Source organism: Homo sapiens, chromosome 2 (genome assembly GCF_000001405.40).
Source record: "Homo sapiens chromosome 2, GRCh38.p14 Primary Assembly".
NCBI classification, from domain to species: domain Eukaryota; kingdom Metazoa; phylum Chordata; class Mammalia; order Primates; family Hominidae; genus Homo; species Homo sapiens.
In genome coordinates this window covers 10083695-10102065 of record NC_000002.12, presented here as the reverse complement: position 1 = coordinate 10102065, position 18371 = coordinate 10083695, and the positions used below count along the sequence as shown (strand labels likewise).

At 48.9% G+C, this 18371-nt stretch overlaps 1 pseudogene, besides 2 other annotated features; it reads left to right on the top strand.

Moving 5' to 3' along the window:
• Positions 518–567: an enhancer, noted in NCBI's record as "active region_15297". NCBI's record gives its function as "activates an Ori minimal core promoter by ATAC-STARR-seq in GM12878 lymphoblastoid cells {active_cell/tissue: GM12878}" and the evidence as "EXISTENCE:reporter gene assay evidence [ECO:0000049][PMID:35858748]".
• Positions 10376–10893: an enhancer, noted in NCBI's record as "H3K27ac-H3K4me1 hESC enhancer chr2:10231300-10231817 (GRCh37/hg19 assembly coordinates)". NCBI's record gives its function as "activates a minimal SCP1, AML or CMV promoter by ChIP-STARR-seq in primed H9 embryonic stem cells {active_cell/tissue: H9 hESC(primed)}" and the evidence as "EXISTENCE:reporter gene assay evidence [ECO:0000049][PMID:30033119]".
• LOC124900536 (uncharacterized) lies at positions 11747–11861 on the top strand (annotated as a pseudogene).
• The last annotated feature ends 6510 nt before the right edge of the window (positions 11862–18371 follow it).

The following is an 18371-nucleotide window of genomic DNA, read 5'->3' as shown; positions in this document are numbered from 1 at the left end:
GCTCTTGTTCTTGCCTGCCTACGCTTTCCCCCATCTGTAGTTAGCAACTCTCCACATTTACTGGGGACCACCCTCCCCCATTCCCAGTCTGCAAGATTTAAGGGAGCCAACTCCCTCCCTCCCCCTCCTCCTTGACCCCAAAGGTCTGGGGAGGGACATTTTCTATTCTCCTGACCCACTAGGAACAGGCAACCCACACAAGCTTTACTACGGAAGCTGGATTCAGGCCATCGGCTGCCTGTGCAGGGAGAGAGAAACCGTCTTTCTGCTGTATGTGAAGCTTGGAGAACTGAGGCGGGGGCTCTTAGGAGCACAGGGTAGAAAATGGAATCGACAAAGAGGAAAGCAGAACTGAGACAGAAAGAGACTCTTCATGAGAACAGACAGGCAAAGGAGTGTTTATTGGCTCCTGTGCCCCCAAAGCTCACAGTGACTCTTCCACTGTAACTGCTCCTAAACACGAAACAGAGCCAGAAGTTGGCCATCCCCTTCTGCCTCCACCTGCATCCCCAGCACTACACCGTGTGGCTGTGCTCACCCCATGGCCTCCTGATTCCTAAGCAGCTGATCATCTGACCTTTGGCAGCCCCCCGTTTCTCCTGTTTCCTGCCCCTCCTAAGACGGCGTGCACATGTGTGTGTGTCCAGTTCTGCTTTGACCTAGAAAACAATTCAAGGAGAAGAATGTATCAAGCAAAGAGCTCAAAAGCAGTGCAGGAAATATCTAAATATTAATGTTAGCTTGAGTAGAAAAATAATACTATTTCAGCTGTTACTTAGTTCTTTAAAATCTGAACCTTTTACTTGCTTCCTCATAAAAAGAGTCTAGTGATTAATTTAGGGCCTGACAAAAGACATCTCCCTGATGTTTAGACAATATTCTATAAATAAATACCAACACTTGAATAGAGAGACAGTCCCCAACTTATGATGGGTTACATCCTGATAAAGCCATCATAATTGAACTTGATGTTTAGACAGTATTCTATAAATAAATACCAACACTTGAATAGAGAGACAGTCCCCAACTTATGATGGGTTACATCCTGATAAAGCCATCATAATTGAACATATAATTGGAACATGCATCTAATACACCCACCCTACTGAACATCACAGCCCAGCCTCACCTGCCTTAGGTGCTTGGAGCACTTACATTACCTACAGTTGGGCAAAGTCGTCCAGCAGGAGCCTATTTTATAACAAAGGGTTGGATTCCATACGCAGATGGGCATTGTGTAGACATTATGGGATGTATAATCACAAAATACAGTATCCAGAGATTGCTGGCAACACAGTGCACTGTGCAGTGCTGGCTGTTTACTGCTCGTGATCGCCAGGCTGACGGGAGCTATGACTGCCCATCATGGCCAAACAGTCCCTTACCGATATTGCTAGACCAGGAAAAGATCAAAATTTGAAGTACAGGTTCTACTGAATGTGTATCTCTTTCACAGCATTGTAATGTTGAGCAATTGTAGTTGAGCCATCCTAAGTCAAGACCAACTATATGTAAAACAAAACCTTAAAAATCATTATGTTATGCTGGGTGTACAGTGGCTCACACCTGTAGTCACAGTGACTCGGGGGGCTGAGGCAGGAGCATAACTTAAAGCCAGAAGTTTGAGGCCAGCCTGGGCAACATAGTGAGACCCCAATCTCAAAAATATATGTGGGGGGGGGTTGAGGGGGTCTTAAATATTTTTTAAATTATTGCAAATTTATATCAATTCTCATAAGTGACTTAAGTCATATTTACAAATTATTATAACCGATTCACTTGAATACTTTGCTATTGCAAATAAATAAAATGCTCACAAAGTCACAAAGAGCATTTTCGGGAGCCCCTGCAGATGCATCCCCATGTCCCACTCCACTCTGTTCAGGGAGGGAGGGGAATGCCCTGGCCTGGGTGGAGGCAGCAAAGAGCCTCCCCATGGCCTCATTCCAGCAGGTTCAGGCGATGGGAGGGAGTGTCCCTAGGAGACTGAGAGGGAGCAGTTGAGGTGGGTGATTCTCTCTGGCTCACTCTGTGAGGGTCACCATAGGCTGTCTGCATCCCTTGATCAGAGGTCTCAACTCCTGTCCTCATACAGTCCTGCTTCTCTGGGTCTGGTAACTGCTCGCTGTCCACCCCACTGTTCCTAGCCCCAGGGTATGGCACCACCCTTAGGGTTTCCTTCACCTGCAGAGAGTTCCTTTATTATTTTATTTTATTTTGTTTTGTTTTGTTTTTATTTTTTAACCTCGGAGACATAGATTGGAGTTGCCCTGAATATATGCTCCCCAGAGAGTTCCTTTATTAAGCTCTTCTCAAATGAACCCATTTGAGGGTGCCAGCTGTTTTCTGCCAGGACCCTGACGGATAACTCCATGGTTCTCATTCCTTTCTTTACTAATAACTATGCCTATCTAGGTATCTTCCCAGGGTTACAATAATCTTAGAAGACTGAATTAGAAAAAGTCTTTTCTCAGAGTAGGCCTGGTACAGATTCTGAACTAACATCAGTTGAGCCGGGCACGGTGGCTCACACCTGTAATCCTAGCACTTTGGAAAGGTGAAGGTGGGAGAATCACTTGAGGCCAGTAGTTTGAAACTAGCCTGGGCAACAAAACAAGACCTATCTCTAAAAATTAAAATTAAAATTAAAAATTAGCCAGGCATGGTGGTACATGCCTGTAATCCCAGCTACTCAGGACTCAGGAGACTGAAGCGGGAGGATCACTCAAGCCCAGCTGGGCTTAAGCCTAGGAGGTCCAGGCTGCAGTGAGCACTGACTGCACTCCAGCCTGGGTGACAAATGTCACCCTGTCTCAAAAAAATAAAAAATATATTTAAAAAAACCACTTTGGGAGGCCGAGCCGGGCAGATCACAAGGTCAAGAGATCGAGACCATCCTGGCCAACATGGTGAAACTCGTCTCTACTAAAAATACAAAAATTAGCCAGATGTGGTGGCACGCACCTGTAATCCCAGTTACTCGGGAGGCTGAGGCAGGAGAATCGCTTGAACACAGGAAGCGGAGACCCATGAGGCCAGGCGTGGTGGCTCACACCTGTAATCCCAGCACTTTGGGAGGCCGAGGAGGGTGGATCACAAGGTCAGGAGTTCGAGATCAGCCTGGCCAAGATGGTGAAACCCTGTCTCTACTAAAAATAAAAAATTAGCCAGGCGTGGTGGCAGACGCCTGTAGTCCCAGCTACTCGGGAGGCTGAGGCAGGAGAATTCCTTGAACCTGGGAGGCGGAGTTTGCAGTGAGCCGAGATCATGCCACTGCACTCTAGCCTGGGCAACAGAGTGAGACTCCATCTCAAAAAAAAAAAAAAAAAAAAAGACCCACAAATAGATTTAGTCTCAGAAACCTTTTGGAGAATCACTCTTTGGAGTGCCTTGCATTTGGTCAAGGCTGAGTTTCTGATGCACCAAGAAATGCTGCCATGATGATTGCAGGTTCAGGGTCCCCAGAAGGCCGTGGGACTCTCTTCCTCCCCCTCTGAACACTCATCCCTGAGATGCTCCTTGACAAAGAGCTCTGGGAAGTGTTAACTACTCACCTCATCTCCCTCCTGGAGCTCTCATTCGCAGAGTGAAGGTCCTGAGAATTCTTGCAGGAAAGAAACTTATGTAACTTCACTGGACTTAGGATACAATTGGAGCAGGTAGCCTGTCCCTTGGCCCTTCTTCTGGGTTCCCAGGCCCACCACCTGGACTTCACCCTCTGGATCTTCCTCTGTAGCTGAGGGTGGAAAAGAAGGCCAAGGAACACTACTTTCCCTCCCCAGCCTCCTCCACCAAGACCTCCCCCGCCCCGCCTCACTCTTGCAGGCTTTTCGGGGAGAAGAGGGAAACCACTCATGCCATTTTCCCAGTACCATAGATGTTATTAAGAGAGAAGAAATGCATTTGAACCAAAGCAGCAGGTGTACAGGTGTGTGTGTGTGTCCTTTATTCTACCAAAAGCCCCATCTCCCACTCAGAACCTCAATGAGTCCATTTTTCCTTTTCCTGAGCACGCACTGCGCCAACATTTGCAAAGGAGTATCTTGCCCTTGGAGTTGTTAAGGATGATTACCTTTAAACAATTGCAGAGCGCAATCCTCGCACATAACAGGTGCTCCACAAGTGGAATGGAACGACATGCTGTGTTTGGGGCCAGACATAAAGATCTTATTAATCTCCGTATTTCCTCCAGCACTGGGCCCTGCACATGGCAGGACCACATAAATAATAAATTTTGTTAAGAGCCAGTGATGGTGCAGGGTAGGGGGTAGGGTCATCAGTTTCCCAAGTGCTTCCCTCCTCAAATACATGGAGGACCCTAATCCAATAGTGCGCTTTCCCCCTTGGCATCTGTCAAGCCCCTTAGCCACTCTCACCCCCTCCACTGAGGGGCAGATGACTAGGCTGCCCTCAGTCCTCCCGTGTGGAAGTTCCAGGAGCCCCACCCAGCCAAAGCTCTGGAGTTAGCCTGGAAATGTGTACCGCTGGCGGCCGCTGGGGGAGCCCCAGCCTCGCAGTGGCTCAGGGCCTTTTCCCCCAGGCAGAAGCAGTGAAAAGCTCTGGCTCTCCTGCTGGGAGGAACTGGGAGAAACTGACCTGAAACACGACCTGAAGGAACAGGGGCCGCCGGGTGGGGGCTGGTTTGGAGGCGAGGGCAGGATGCAGTTGTTCATTATATAGAAGACACTGGGACATTTTTATTGCAGAAGAGACATCTTATTGCAGAAGAGACATTTTTATTCCACATTGCACACAGGTATTGACACAGTCAGCTGAGCATCAAATGGGGCTGGGTGTGGTGGCTCACACCTGTAATCCCAGCACTTTGGGAAGCTGAGAGAGGCAGATCACTTGAGGTCAGGAGTTGGAGACCAACCTGGCCAACATAGTGAAACCCTGTCTCTACTAAAAATAGAAAAATTAGCTGGGTGTGGTCGCATGTGCCTGTAATCCTAGCTACTCAGGAGGCTGAGGAGGGAGAATCACTTGAACCCAGGAGGCAGAGTTTGCAGTGAGCCGAGATCGCACCACTATGCTCTAGGTGGGTGACAAAGCGAGAGTCTGTCTCAAAAAAAAAAAGGATGGATTTGGAGGACAGGCCGACCCCTGTGGAGCCCCTCTCTGCTCACTGGCTGCTAGCGCCTGGGGCAGCTCCACACTCCTCTGGGAGCCGCTGCGCTGGGAGGCCTTCACCTGCTACCCTGCGCAGTCCTCCCACTGGTCCTCTGTCCTGTGATCCAGGGGAGCTGCTTCCCTCTCCCCAGGCTTCTGCTTGCCCACCTGGAAGGATGGCGTTTAGGCTGCGCCGGCTCTGTCCTTTGAGCTCTGATTTCCAACCCTATTCATATGTCCAGAGCCAAAGGTAAAATAAGGCTATGATTAAAGCAGCCCCACCCATCACCAGAACAGGGTGGCCGGGGCTAGGGCCTCAAAACCGGTCACTGAGTTGACACCAGCCTTCAGCTGGTGATACATTCTCCACTCAGTTACCAAACTTTTCTCATGAACTCCAGGGAACAGGTTCTTTCCACTGACTTTCTGGGAAAATGTATTTCGAATTTTAAGTAGCTGTCTTTTGCAAAACCGTTTATAGCTCACTGTTTGAGCCTCGTTATCTTCTACATGCTGTACTGATTCCTCAACATGCATAATCACTTTTAATTGTATTCACTTCTCACAACAACACAGCCAGGTGGGCATTTATTATTCATTGCACTTGAAGGCGCGGTGAGATGAAGTAGTTTATCCACAGCACACAGATAGAAGACTTCCCCTGAATCCAGAGTGCCTCCATTTCCCAAGCGCCACTGCTCCCTAGAGTTGGCACTTGGGAACAGACCCCACTCCTGCTCCAGACAGACAATGTGCATGTGGCTAGAAATATCCCTGCCCTAGAAGAACAAAAACCTATGAGGAGCAGTTCTGAGGACTATTTGCCCAGGCTTGTCCCGGAGAAGAGAGAGGCTGTCATACATCCTCCTCTCACACTATTCAGCAAGGTAACAAATAGTTATTGAGGTTCAGACACTGTAAATGCAACCAATAAGTATAACAATTGATAAACATAATCAATAAGTACATTGAATTGTACCTTAGAAGGCAAAGGGTTATGGAAAGAAAATAAAGCAAAATAAAGGGATCTGGATTGGCCGGGCCCGGTGGCACACACCTGTAATCTCAGCACTTTGGGAGGCCAAGGCGGGCAGATCACCTGAGGTCAGGAGTTCAAGACCAGCCTGGCCAACATGGGGAGACCCCGTCTCTACTAAAAATACAAAAAATTAGCAAGGCAGGAAACAACCCTCTTGAGATGCCTGTTCCCCCTGACAGCACAAATGGTGAAGGAAAGGGTTTGGCCCCCGCAAACCCATTCAGGATCAAAGTATCAGCTCCACAGTTTGCTACTGAGATGGAAGAATGCTGCCATTTGGAAGGAGAGACCCCACCTCGCCCCAGCTCATCGGGACCACTGTCCCAGCCGTCCAGCTGGGCTCTGGGCCTTTTGTTTTGTCCTCTCCATTCCATTTCCTGTGCTGGGCAGCTGAAACTCACTCTATAAACTCCCCACAGTCCTCAGAATGAAAACCAACCTGCTCAGCAGCGGTCAAGCTTCTTCTAATCTGGACCCACCCACCTCCCCTCCCATCCCGCACGCTTTCCCATCCCGACTGGCTCGCTGGGCTGCCGATGCTCTTCTCTCTTGGCTGCATGACTGCACAGCCCTTTTCCATTGTCTCTGCCTGGTGAACGCCTAATTATCTTTTTTTCTTTTGAGACAGAGTCTCACTCTGTTGCCCAGGCTGGAGTGCGGTGGCACGATCTCAGCTCACTTCAACCTCCACTTTCCAGATTCAAGCCATTCTCCTGTCTCAGCTTCCTGAGTAGCTGGGATTATAGGCGTGTGCCACCACACCCAGCTAATTTTTGTATTTTTAGTAGAGATGGGCCATGTTGGCCAGGCTGGTCTCAAAACTCCTGACCTCAAGTGATCCACCCACCTTGTCCTCCCAAAGTGCTGGATTTACAGGCGTGAGCCAGCGTGCCCAGCAACCTCTATCTTTTAAGAAGCAGTTCAAAACCTGCCTCTGCTGGGAAGTCTGCCCTGATGCCCCCAGGCAGAGGTACTTGCCCCATGACTTTGTGTGCGAGCTCTATCCAATTTATCCCGCTGGACTGCAGTTATTTGTTCACCCTTTTATCTCCCCAGTCGGTACACGCTTTTTGAGGGCAGGGTCGGTCTATGTCAAGCTCATCTCCCCACAGTGCTTAGCACAATGCCTGAGACTAGCCGGGCCACAAGTGTTTGCAGAATTACAAACGACATGTTCCCTAGACTTTAGATTCCATCTCCATATGCTAAAGGCACCCCCATACCCACGCTCAGCACCGGGCCTCACATGCAGCTGGTGCGCAGTCAATGCATGTGAACTAGCTGATAGGCTAATCAGAGGAAGATCAGATCAAGGAAAGTACCTTACTTAAGCTCTCCGCTCCCCACCCAGTGTTCTGAAACAGGCAGCTAGAGGTGAGAGACGGGCCTGCTGAAAGCTGAGCTTTGTAGCCAAGACCCGAGTGGTGTTACTTGGACTGCTGGAGTCCAGAGGAGCAGGATGGCTCGGTTACCATGGCAACCCGAGCTTGCTCTAAGGGCAGCTGGTGTTCAGATCTCATTTGGACTTAAGAGATGCAGTGGAGAGCCTAATGTAATTAATGATGGTTCAGATGCCACACAAATCCAAATAATCCCCTCACGCATTTGGCCACTAGAGGCGGGCACGTGGGTGCCAGGTTATACGAACTGGAAGATGGACCCTGATCCTTTCAGGAGTGGAAGATGCCGACCCGGCTCCAGTCTGGGAGAGAGTTCCCTCAAGGACAGGTACACATGCTTTACAGATGCCACTGAAGCCATTTGTGCAACTGTCTGCTGGTCTATTAGTATCAGTGGCTTGCTGGTGATGGAGGTCACGGCCGGGAGCCAGGATCCTGGCCTCAGGTTAAGGAAGGTGTCAGAAGGGCATGGTCCCTGGAGGGAGACCCCGAGGCTCCCCCATGGATTAGCCGTGTGACTGTGGGCAAGTATCTTAGGCTCCCCAAGACTCCATGCCCTGTCCATCAAGTGGACGTTCACAGAATCTACCCCATTATGCTGCTGAGGGAACTTCAGAGCCTCACAGGGTGCCCAGCACACCACAGCCCTCAACAAAGCACTGCTCTGGAGCACGTGCTGAGTGGCTTTGGAGGAGTCACTACCTTATTCAGGGCTCTGTTCCCAGAGTGAGTATTATCCAGGGTTCCTTCCACTGCAGACTCCAAAACTCCGTGTTTGCTGTGTGCTCATCCAGAACCCGAGTGGTGCTGCACAGGCCATATGCCTAACGCCATCGTGGGGGCAGGAGGAGCCTCTCTTCACTTTTGGATTTCACTTTCTTCGAAACGCAGGATGCTTTTTGGAAATCAGATTGCTCGGCCTCACACCTGTAATCCCAGCACTTTGTGAGGCCAAGGCGCATGGATCACCTGAGGTCAGGAGTTGAAGACCAGCCTGGCCAACATGGTGAAACCTCGTCTCTACAAAAATACAAAATTATCCAGGCATAATGGCGGGTGCCTGTAATCCCAGCTACTCTGAGGCTGAATAGGGAGAATGGCTTGAACCCGGGAGGTGGAGGTTGCCATTGCACTCCAGCCTGGACGACACAGCAAGACTCTGTCTCCAAAAAAAAAAAAAAAAAAAAAACCACCACGTGCGGTGGCTCACACCTGTAGTCCCACTACTTTGGGAGGCCAAGGCAGGTGGGTCACCTGAGGTCAGAAGTTCGAGACCAAGCTGACCAACGTGGCAAAACCTCCGTCTCTACTAAAAATACAAAATTAGCCAGGCGTGGTGGCAAGCACCTGTAATCCCAGCTACTTGGGAGGCTGAGGCAGGAGAATTGCTTGAATCTGGGAGGCAGAGGTTGTAGTGAGCCAAGATTGCACCACTGCACTCCAGCATGGGCAACAAGAGCAAAACTCCGTTTCCAAAAAAAAAGAAAAAAATCAGATTGCTCTTTTCCTCACTCTAGCAGTGAACTTAGTCCACATGGGAATTAGCACCATCTCTTGCTGTTCTGTCTTTGCCTGGCACACTGACCTCCTTGAAGGTTCTGTGCCCTTAGTAATCCTACCTCAGCACCTTCCCTTTTGATTTCTTTAGTAGTCCTACTGTGTCCAGAATTGGCGAGTTCTTGGTCTCACTGACTTCAAAAATGAAGCCACGGACCCTTGCGGTGAGTGTTAACAGTTCTTAAAGGCAGCATGTCCAGAGTTTCTTCTAGTGGCTTCATGGTCTTGCTGGCTCAGGAGTGAAGCTGCAAGCCTTTGCGCTGTTACAGCTCTTAAGGCAGCACGTCTAGAATTGTACGTTCACTCCCAGTAGGGGTTCATGGTCTCGCCAGTTTCAGGAGTGAACCTGCAGACCTTCGTGGTGAGTGTTACAGCTCATAAAAGCACTGGGGATCCAAACAGTGAACACTCACAAGATTTAATTGCAAAGAGCAAAAGAACAAACCCTTTACAGTCTCAAATCACTATACTAGCAGATTGCCACTGCTAGCTGGGGCAGCCTGCTTTTATTCTCTTATCTGGCCCCACCCACATCCTGCTGATTGGTCCATTTTACAGAGAGCCGATTGGTCCATTTTACAGAGAGCTGATTGGTCCATTTTGACAGGGTGCTGATTGGTGCATTTACAATCCCTGAGCTAGAGTCAAAAGTTCTCCACGTCCCCACTAGATTAGCCAGATACCGAGTGTTGATTGGTGTATTTACAAACCCTGAGCTAGACACAGAGTGCTGATTGGTGCATTTACAAACCTTGAGCTAGATACAGAGTGCCCACTGGTGCATTCACAATCCCTTAGCTAGACATAAAGATTCTCCAAGTCCCCACCAGATTAGCTAGACACGGAGCACTGATTGCGGCATTTACAAACCTTGAGCTAGACACAGAATGCTGATTGGTGCATTTACAAACCTTGAGCTAGATACAGAGTGCTGATTGGTGCATCCACAAACCCTGAGCTAGACACAGGGTGCTGATTGGTGTGTTTACAAACCTTGAGCTAGATACAGAGTGCTGATTGGTGTATTTACAATCCTCTAGCTAGACTTAAAGGTTCTCCAAGTCCCCACTAGACTCAGGCGCCCAGCTGGCTTCACCCAGTGGATGTCGCACCAGGGCTGCAGGTGGAGCTGCCTGCCAGTTCCGTCTGGTGCGCCCGCACTTCTCAGCCCTTGGGCGGTCGATGGGACCGGGCACCGTGGAGCAGGGGGCGACACTCGTCCAGGAGGCTCAGTTCGCGCAGGAGCCCATGGCGGGTGGGGGAGACTCAGGCATGTCGGGCTGCAGGTCCCCAGCCCTGCCCCGCGGCGCGGCCGCTAAGGCCCAGCGAGAAATCAAGCGCAGCACCGGTGGGCCGGCACTGCTGGGGGACCCGATGCACCCTCCGCAGCTGCTGGCCCGGGTGCTAAGCCCCTTACTGCCTGGTGCCGATGGACCGGCCGGCCGCTCCGTATGCGGGCCCGCGAAGCCCACACCCATCCGGAACTCTAGCTGACCCGGAACTCTAGCTGGCCCGCAAGCACCATGCGCAGCCCCGGTTCCCGCCCGTGCCTCTCCCTCCACACCTCCCCACAGGCTGAGGGAGCAGGTTCCGGCCTCGCCCGTCCCAGGAAGGGCTTCCCACAGTGCAGCAGCGGGCTGAAGAGCTCCTCAAGCGTGGCCAGAATGGGCTCCGAGAGCGAGCGCGGGCTGCCAGCACGCTGTCACCTCTCACTACCTCAGTACCTTCCCTTCTCATTTTTCTTCTGCTTGGAGAAACTCCTACTTCCTTCTTTTTTTGAGACAGGGTCTCACGCTGTTGCACAGACTGGAGTGCAGTGGTGTGATCACAGTTCACTGCAGCCTCCACCCTCTGGGCTCAAGGGATCCTCCCACCTCAGCCTCCTGAGTAGCTGGGACTACAGGTGTGTACCACCATGCCTGGCTAATTTTTTTTTTTTTTTTTGTAAAGATAAAGTCTTACTAAGTTGCTTAAGCTGGCCTTGAACTCCTGGGCTCAAGCAGTCCGCCTGCCTTGGCCTCCCAAAGTGCTGGGATTCCAGGCGTGAGCCACTGTGCATGGCCCTTCCTTTGTAGTTTGCACCTGTTATTACATGTTTCTCCAGTTACTTTAACTATTCCACTGGCCCCTGAGCATCTTGAGGGTAGGGATTATGGATTATTCATGTCTATATCCCTAAATGTATCACACGGTAGGTGCTCTACAAACATTTGTAGAGTTGAATCAAATGGAACATGTGAGGTGTACACTTGTGCAAACAGATTGAGCTTCTTTTCTGATAATTTCATTTTGGTGTAAGTTTGCTTTCAGTTTAAGTAGTCAAAACATTTGGATAGCTATTCTTTTTTTTTGGATAAGTATTCTTGAGTGGACTAAAAATAGATTTTAATTGATTTCTAGTGCCGATGCTGCAAAACTGGAAATCTAAAAGATTTTATCCTTTTATTAGAGTCTGAAGAAGAAAAAGAACAAGGGAGTGGAAATGCTTTTAACATTTTATCTGCCCCCTTTCCTGTGCCTTTTTTTTTTTTTTTTTTTTTGAGATGGAGTCTTTGTCACCCAGGCTGGAGTGCAATGGCGTGATCTCGGATCACTGCAACCTCCGCCTCCCAGGTTCAAGCGATTCTCCTGCCTTCCTGTGCCTAAGGTTAACACAGCGCCTTAAGAGGCTAACACAGAAGGGCAAAGTAAGTCTCCATAAAACCCAGAGAAGACTGTGAACCCCTCTCTGGATCCTGTCTGGAGTCACAGCTGGAAAACAAAAACACATTTATCTGGTAGGAATAAAGAAATTTAGAAGAAGCAGAAAAGGAAAAATGATTTTCAGATCTAGTTTTTTGTTCTTCCAAAAGGAGGAATTTAAACATGAGGGAGACTAATTTATTTCCCCTTTTTACTTTGGGTTTCATAACTCAACAATCTTCCCTGAGGCCCCAGGTGAGAACAGTGAGTTAGCTATGAAGGCAGAAATAAGTAACTAAAGATCTTAGGTGGTTAATATTAACTGCCTTTTCTTTCGTGAATAAACCATATCACCTGGGATTAATGGGTGAAACGCAGAGAACTATTAACTAAACCAGGGATTGGCAAACTTTTTCTGTAAGGGCCAGATGGTGACTATTTCTCAGCCATAGTGATGCAAAATCAGCCAGAGAAACATGCAAACAAACGGGCGGGTAGCTGTGTTGCAATAAAACTTTATTTACAGCAACAGTTGGAAGTTAAATTTGGCTTGGTGGCTACAGATTGCTGACCCCTGAATGCAACACTCCATTTTCAGGTCTAAGTATTCCCATTCTCTTAAACACACCATCCTAGCTCAGGATGCTCTAACAGAATACCACAGACTGGATGGCTGAAAGAATAAATGTTTCTTTCTCACAGTTCCGGAGGCTGGGAACTCCAAGATCAAGGCGCCAATAGATCCAGTGTCCTGCGAGGGCTGTCTTCCTGGTTTGCAGACAGCCTTCTTGCTGTGTGCTCGCATGATGCAGAGAGAAGAAAGGGGCAAGCTCTCGGGTCTCTTCTTATATGGACACTAATCCCAGTCACTTGGGCTCCACCTCATGACCTAATTACTTCCCAAGGACCCCACCTCCTAATGCCAACACACTGGGGGTTAGGATTTCAACCTGTGAATTTTGGAGGAACACAAACCTTTGGTCTGTAACACACAGCATGCTTATATAAAAGGAAGAGATGTCCACCAAAGTTGTAAGGTCCATATGGCACAGGGACCAAATTATTATTATTTTTTGTTTGTTTGTTTTGAGATAGAGTCTCACTGTGTTGCCCAGGCTGGAGTGCAGTGGTGCAATCTTGGCTCACTGCAATCTCTGCCTCCTGGGTTCAAGCGATTCTCATGCCTCACCCTCCAGAGTAGCTGGGATTATGGGCGTGAGCCACCACGCCCAGCTAACTTTTGTATTTTAGTAGAGATGAGGTTTCGTCATGTAGGCCAGGCTGGTCTCAAACTCCTGGCCTCAAGTGATCTGCTTGCCTCAGCCTCCCAAAGTGCTGGGATTATAGGTGTGAGCCACAGCTCCCAGCCATGACCAAGTTATGAGTGAAAAAAACACACCTCTCAGGACTGGAAAGATGTCAGATGAGGCTGGGAGCACTAGCTCATGCCTGTAATCCCAGCACTTTGGGAGGCCGAGGCGGGCAGATCACCTGAGGTCAGGAGTTCGAGATCAACCTGGCCAACATGGCAAAACCCCGTCTCTACTACAAATACAAAATTAGTCAGGCATGGTGGTGCACGCCTGCAGTCCCAGCTACTCGGGAGGCTGAGGCAGGAGAATCGCTTGAACCCAGGGGGCGGAGGTTGCAGTGAGCCAAGATCACGCCATTGCACTCCAGCCTGGACAACAAGAGGGAAACTCCATCTCAAAAAAAAAAAAAAAAAAGATGTCAGATGTGTGTGTCTGGATGGTAGAAAGGATGACTTACCTCCCACCTGGGTAGACATCCCCTCTCTTTGTCCCTGGCGCCTTCAATGGCCTATCTGGCTTTCACTAACACCCTGTTTTACCCAGCGCCCACTGACTTTTGAGTTCTGAGGGGCCATGAAGGGAATGGGCTGAGATGTGGGGATTTGCTTTACAGTTGGGAAGGCCGCAAAGCTACACAGAAGCGTGGGCCGGCTCCGTGACAGAGAAAGCCCAAGACAACCAACTAGAAATGTCAAATTTTAAAAATATGTAGGAATGAGAATTTGCTTATTACCCAGAGAGATTTTATGTGACTACCATTAAAGTAACTTTTACCAAAAAAAAGTATAATCACAATGATTAAAATCTTAGTTTCTAAGAATGTATTTAAGACTAAGTCCACTATCAAACTTACTCATGTTTAAAACCCCCGAAGAGATACAGAAGGTTGATCTTTGACAAGTGCAAACCTAGACCAGTACAGGAAACAGGGTCTTAGGACTGTAATCCCAGCACTCTGGGAGGCCAAGGCAATAGGATCACTTGGGGCTAGGAGTTCAAGATCATCCTGGGCAACATAGTGAGACCCCTAACCCTACAAAAAAAGAGAAAAAATAGCTGGGTGTGGTGCCACGCACCCGTAGTCCCAGCTATTCAGGAGGCTAAGGCAGGAGGATCACTTGAGCCCAGGAGTTCAATGCTGCAATGAGCTGTGATCGTACCACTGCACTCCAGCCTGCGCAACCGAGTGAGCCTCTGTTTCTTTAAAAGAAGAAGAAAACTGCAAAGCTGACTCCATTACTCTCCAGGGGAGCTGTGCAGCTCATAGAATCAAGTGCACGTTTTCTTACTTTGGAGTCTCAGTGAGGACAGCTGGGCTGTGCCACAGCAAGAAACGGCCCCCAGCAGAAATGGCTTCTGACAGCAAAGGTTTGGCTGTCAGCCAGGCTACATGTCCATCACCAGCCAGCCAGGGGACCTGCTCCACGACTCCCCTTCCAGGACCCCGGTTGATGGAGCTGCCACCATAGCGAGCGGTACCAGTTGCTGCAGCCAAGAGAAGGAGAATTTGGATGGCATCTTTCACCAGGATTGAATGCTCCAGGCCAGAAGTGACACCTGATCACACGGGGCGGGGAGTGCCTTCCTGCTGTGTATCCAGGAGGAGATGTTTGGAGAACAGTGTTGAGGGCTATCAGACATGGCATTTTGGATCTCTCCTATTTCTCCAGCCTCATTTCCCACGACTTGAACAGTTTATAAGAACGTGATTAGGAATGTGTGTGTGTGTTTAGGGGAGAGGGAGAAATTCCCTGGCAAGAGAGAGGTTGGTTTACAATGAGATCACTACCCAAATCACTGAGCTGCTCAAACTTCCGGGTTCATAGTGTCAGAGGGACTAGTAGGGCCTTAGCTAGCCCATATTGTACCTTCCTCTAGGGGGATACAGCCCTGCTCCATGAGGACAGCTTGGTGAATGGAACATGGCTGGCTTGAGGCCTCTATTTGCTTCTTGGTCAGGCACTCTTGTTTAGTGAACAACCTGTACAACCCTACGTGTAGGGTGACCAACTAATCTGGTTGACCACCATGACCTGGGAATATTCTCAGTTCTGGGGTAACAGAAATAGGTGGTCACTGTATTAGTCTGTTCTCACATTGCTATAAAGAACTACCTGACTTTGGGAGGCCAAGGAAGGCAGATCATGAGGTCAAGAGATCGAGACCATCCTGGCTAACATGGTGAAACCCCATCTCTACTAAAAATACAAAAAAATTAGCCAGGCATGGTGGTGGGTGCCTGTAGTCCCAGCTACTCGGGAGGCTGAGGCAGGAGAATGGCGTGAACCTGGGGGGCGGAGCTTGCAGTGAGCTGAGATGGCACCACTGCACTCCAGCCTGGTTGACAGAGCGAGACTCCATCTCAAAAAAAAAAAAAAAAAGAACTACCCAAGACTGGGTAATTTATAAAGAAAGGAGGTTTAATTGGCTCACGGTCCTGCAGGCTGTACAGGAAGCATGGCTGCAGAGGCCTCAGGAAACAACCATGGCAGAAGGCGAAGCAGAAGCCAGCACATCCTACATGGCTAAAGCAGGAAGAAGTAGGCAGGGGGACACACTTTAAACAACCAGATCTCACGAGAACTCACTCACTATCACGAGAACACCAAGGGGGATGTCCACCCCCATGATCCAATCACCTCCCACCAGGTCTCTCCTCCAACATTGCCGGGAATACACTTCAACATGAGATTTGGGCAGGGACACAAATCCAAACCATATCAGTCACCCCACCTACATGGTGGCCCAGGGTAACGGTAATAGTTGCATATATTCAGAGCTCGCTGGTCTATTCTGCTAGGTTTGTCATTTATTTAGGTACAGATAGCATCATGAAAGAACCATGGGGTTTGCAGAGAGAGTGGCTTGAGTCCCAGCTCTGGCTGTCTCTGGCTTCAAGACCTTAGGCCAGCTCCCCACTCTTCGGAGCCTCAGTTTTGCCATCTGTAAAATAGAGGCAGAAAATATCTATCTTACAAGGTTACCGTGAGGCTCATTTAACGAGCCACAGTCGGTAAATGGTCAGGGCAGGGCCTCTCGAAGTGTCAGCTGTCCCCGTTGGGTGGAGGTTGACTGCGCGGTGAAGGAAAGTTGCACTCCAGAGGACAGGGATCGTGCAGCCAGGGGGTCTTGTACAAATGTGCACAGGCATTAATCAGTAATCGCCATGAGCAGGCTGGGACTTCAACTCCACTTACCAAGTTAAACAGCTACAAATTAAAGAGCTAAGAGACGCTTTTAATATTTAACCTGGGCCTTGACTACAGCACTCTATTCCTTTGAGCTGATTAATTGACTGGTTGGTTCTCAGCTCTCTAATGAGAAGAAGGAACTTAAGCATCTTCCCAGGTGTCTGGGACCATGGGATGTTCGTGTGCAGAGGTGACCACCCCCACCAGGCAGCTTCCACATTAGAGAAGTTGATATTCACAGTGGGGGGTTTGAGCTTAAAGTTGGACATTTTATGTTTGTTGCACACTCTTTTTAGCCAACAGTATTTAAAGGTTAACCTCTGTAATAAATATTACACGTTAATGGTCAAATTTACACAGACTCAATTCCCTTTCCCAGCACTGCCCTCCCTCTCCCCTCAAACCTTGTCCTCAGGATGATAAATGACCCCACCAAAGCCTAGGGTCCAAGTATGTTTTGAGTGGCCTCCAAATCTCACACTCAAAACTGTGGGTTCATGGACAGGGGAGTCAGCTCACAGATCACTTTGTGTAGCAGATTTGCAAGGAGAAGGAAGCTTACGTTCACTGAGGCCAGCGGCTGTGGACACTGTACTGGATCTTTCTCAGCTGCTGTGTGCATTGCCCCTGGAGACAGGACAGTCCCACACAAACATCGTCTTACTCAGTGGGCCAGGGATGGGCACCTGAACCTCAAGTAGCTCCAGTTCAAGGCGGCCAGCTTCCTGCCTGCTCAGCTAATCGAAGCCTGTCCACCCCACCCCACCCCACAAACCCACCACCCCCCGCCCCCCGGTCTAAATTCCTAGCCGGAGTAAAAATCCAATGGGAAAAGAGTCTTATACACATGGCAGCGGAGTGAAACCACATCAGCTACCTGGTCATTTTTTTTTCTTAAATATAAGCAGGAGTCAGTGGGGGATGATGCCCTTGTCCCATGTAAAGATCTTAATCGCTCCTTAGGTCCGATGCCCACTTCTCACTCCCATCTCCTTTTATACCCGCTGACTGTGTCCCGGAGTCTCATCTGTCAGTCCATTGACCCCGTTTCCTCTCCAGCGTCTGTCATCATGGCATAGACTGCAATTGCTCAGCCTGTGTCATCTGGCAGCTCTCTACTGTCAGTTTTCCATCTTTCAGAAATGCGTTGAAACCTCTCCTTTGTGATTTCCCTCCTTCTTACAACTCCTCCTCTATCCCTTTTTCTTTTATCTTAATTCCAGCAAAGTCGCAAGTACCAAGAGAAGGCAACTCTGCACCCGGTCTGCTGTTTTGAGCCAGAAGCCATGAGATGCCTCTAAACGAGAACTGCTCTAGTCATGGAAAGTATGCATCGTAAATTCCAGTGCTAAACCTTTTGTTTAGATGGGGTACAAGTCATTGTCATTTTACTGTCAGAATTTTTTACAGTGTTATAGAACGCACCAAATCAGCCATGACCTGGACCTGCCAACCCTAAGGACCTCATGTATCTTATTTCTGAGTAAATATTGAAAAAAGTTCTGTAACTCATTAATTGTCCTTAATGAATAATGGTGATTCACCCTTATATTTTGTTTTCCCCTCTTGATGCCGAAACCATGAAACCAAATACAAAAGCTTGGACACTTTGGTAAAAGACAATAGCAATTATGTGGGCTGCTGCTGTCCAAACATATCAGCATTCGTTAATAGCACTGTGGCTCTCTCAAGTTACCGATTAAGCATTAAAAATAGAAACATGGCTTGCTTATGTTTCAAATGCCGTCTCATTTATCACCCAAATGCAAATATTATCTGTCTGCATATTCATAAGAACCAGCACCTGCACAACACATCTTTCTTACGTAACGGCTTGGGAGTGCCATGATTGGTGGGAAACTGCAGGATATCTGAGCAGGGAGAGTAGATCTGCGAGTCCTGAAGCAGGGGCCCTGGAGTGGGGTTTTGAAAGGTGGGTTGGTTTGGCAGGCTATTGTAATGACTGGTCCATGAGTCGTGGTGGGAGGAACTGGCTTCATCTGCAGTAGATGCCTGGCTACTCCTGAAACCAAGGAAAACATCGTTCGGGCGCCCGAGTCCTTCCGAAAAGTATCAC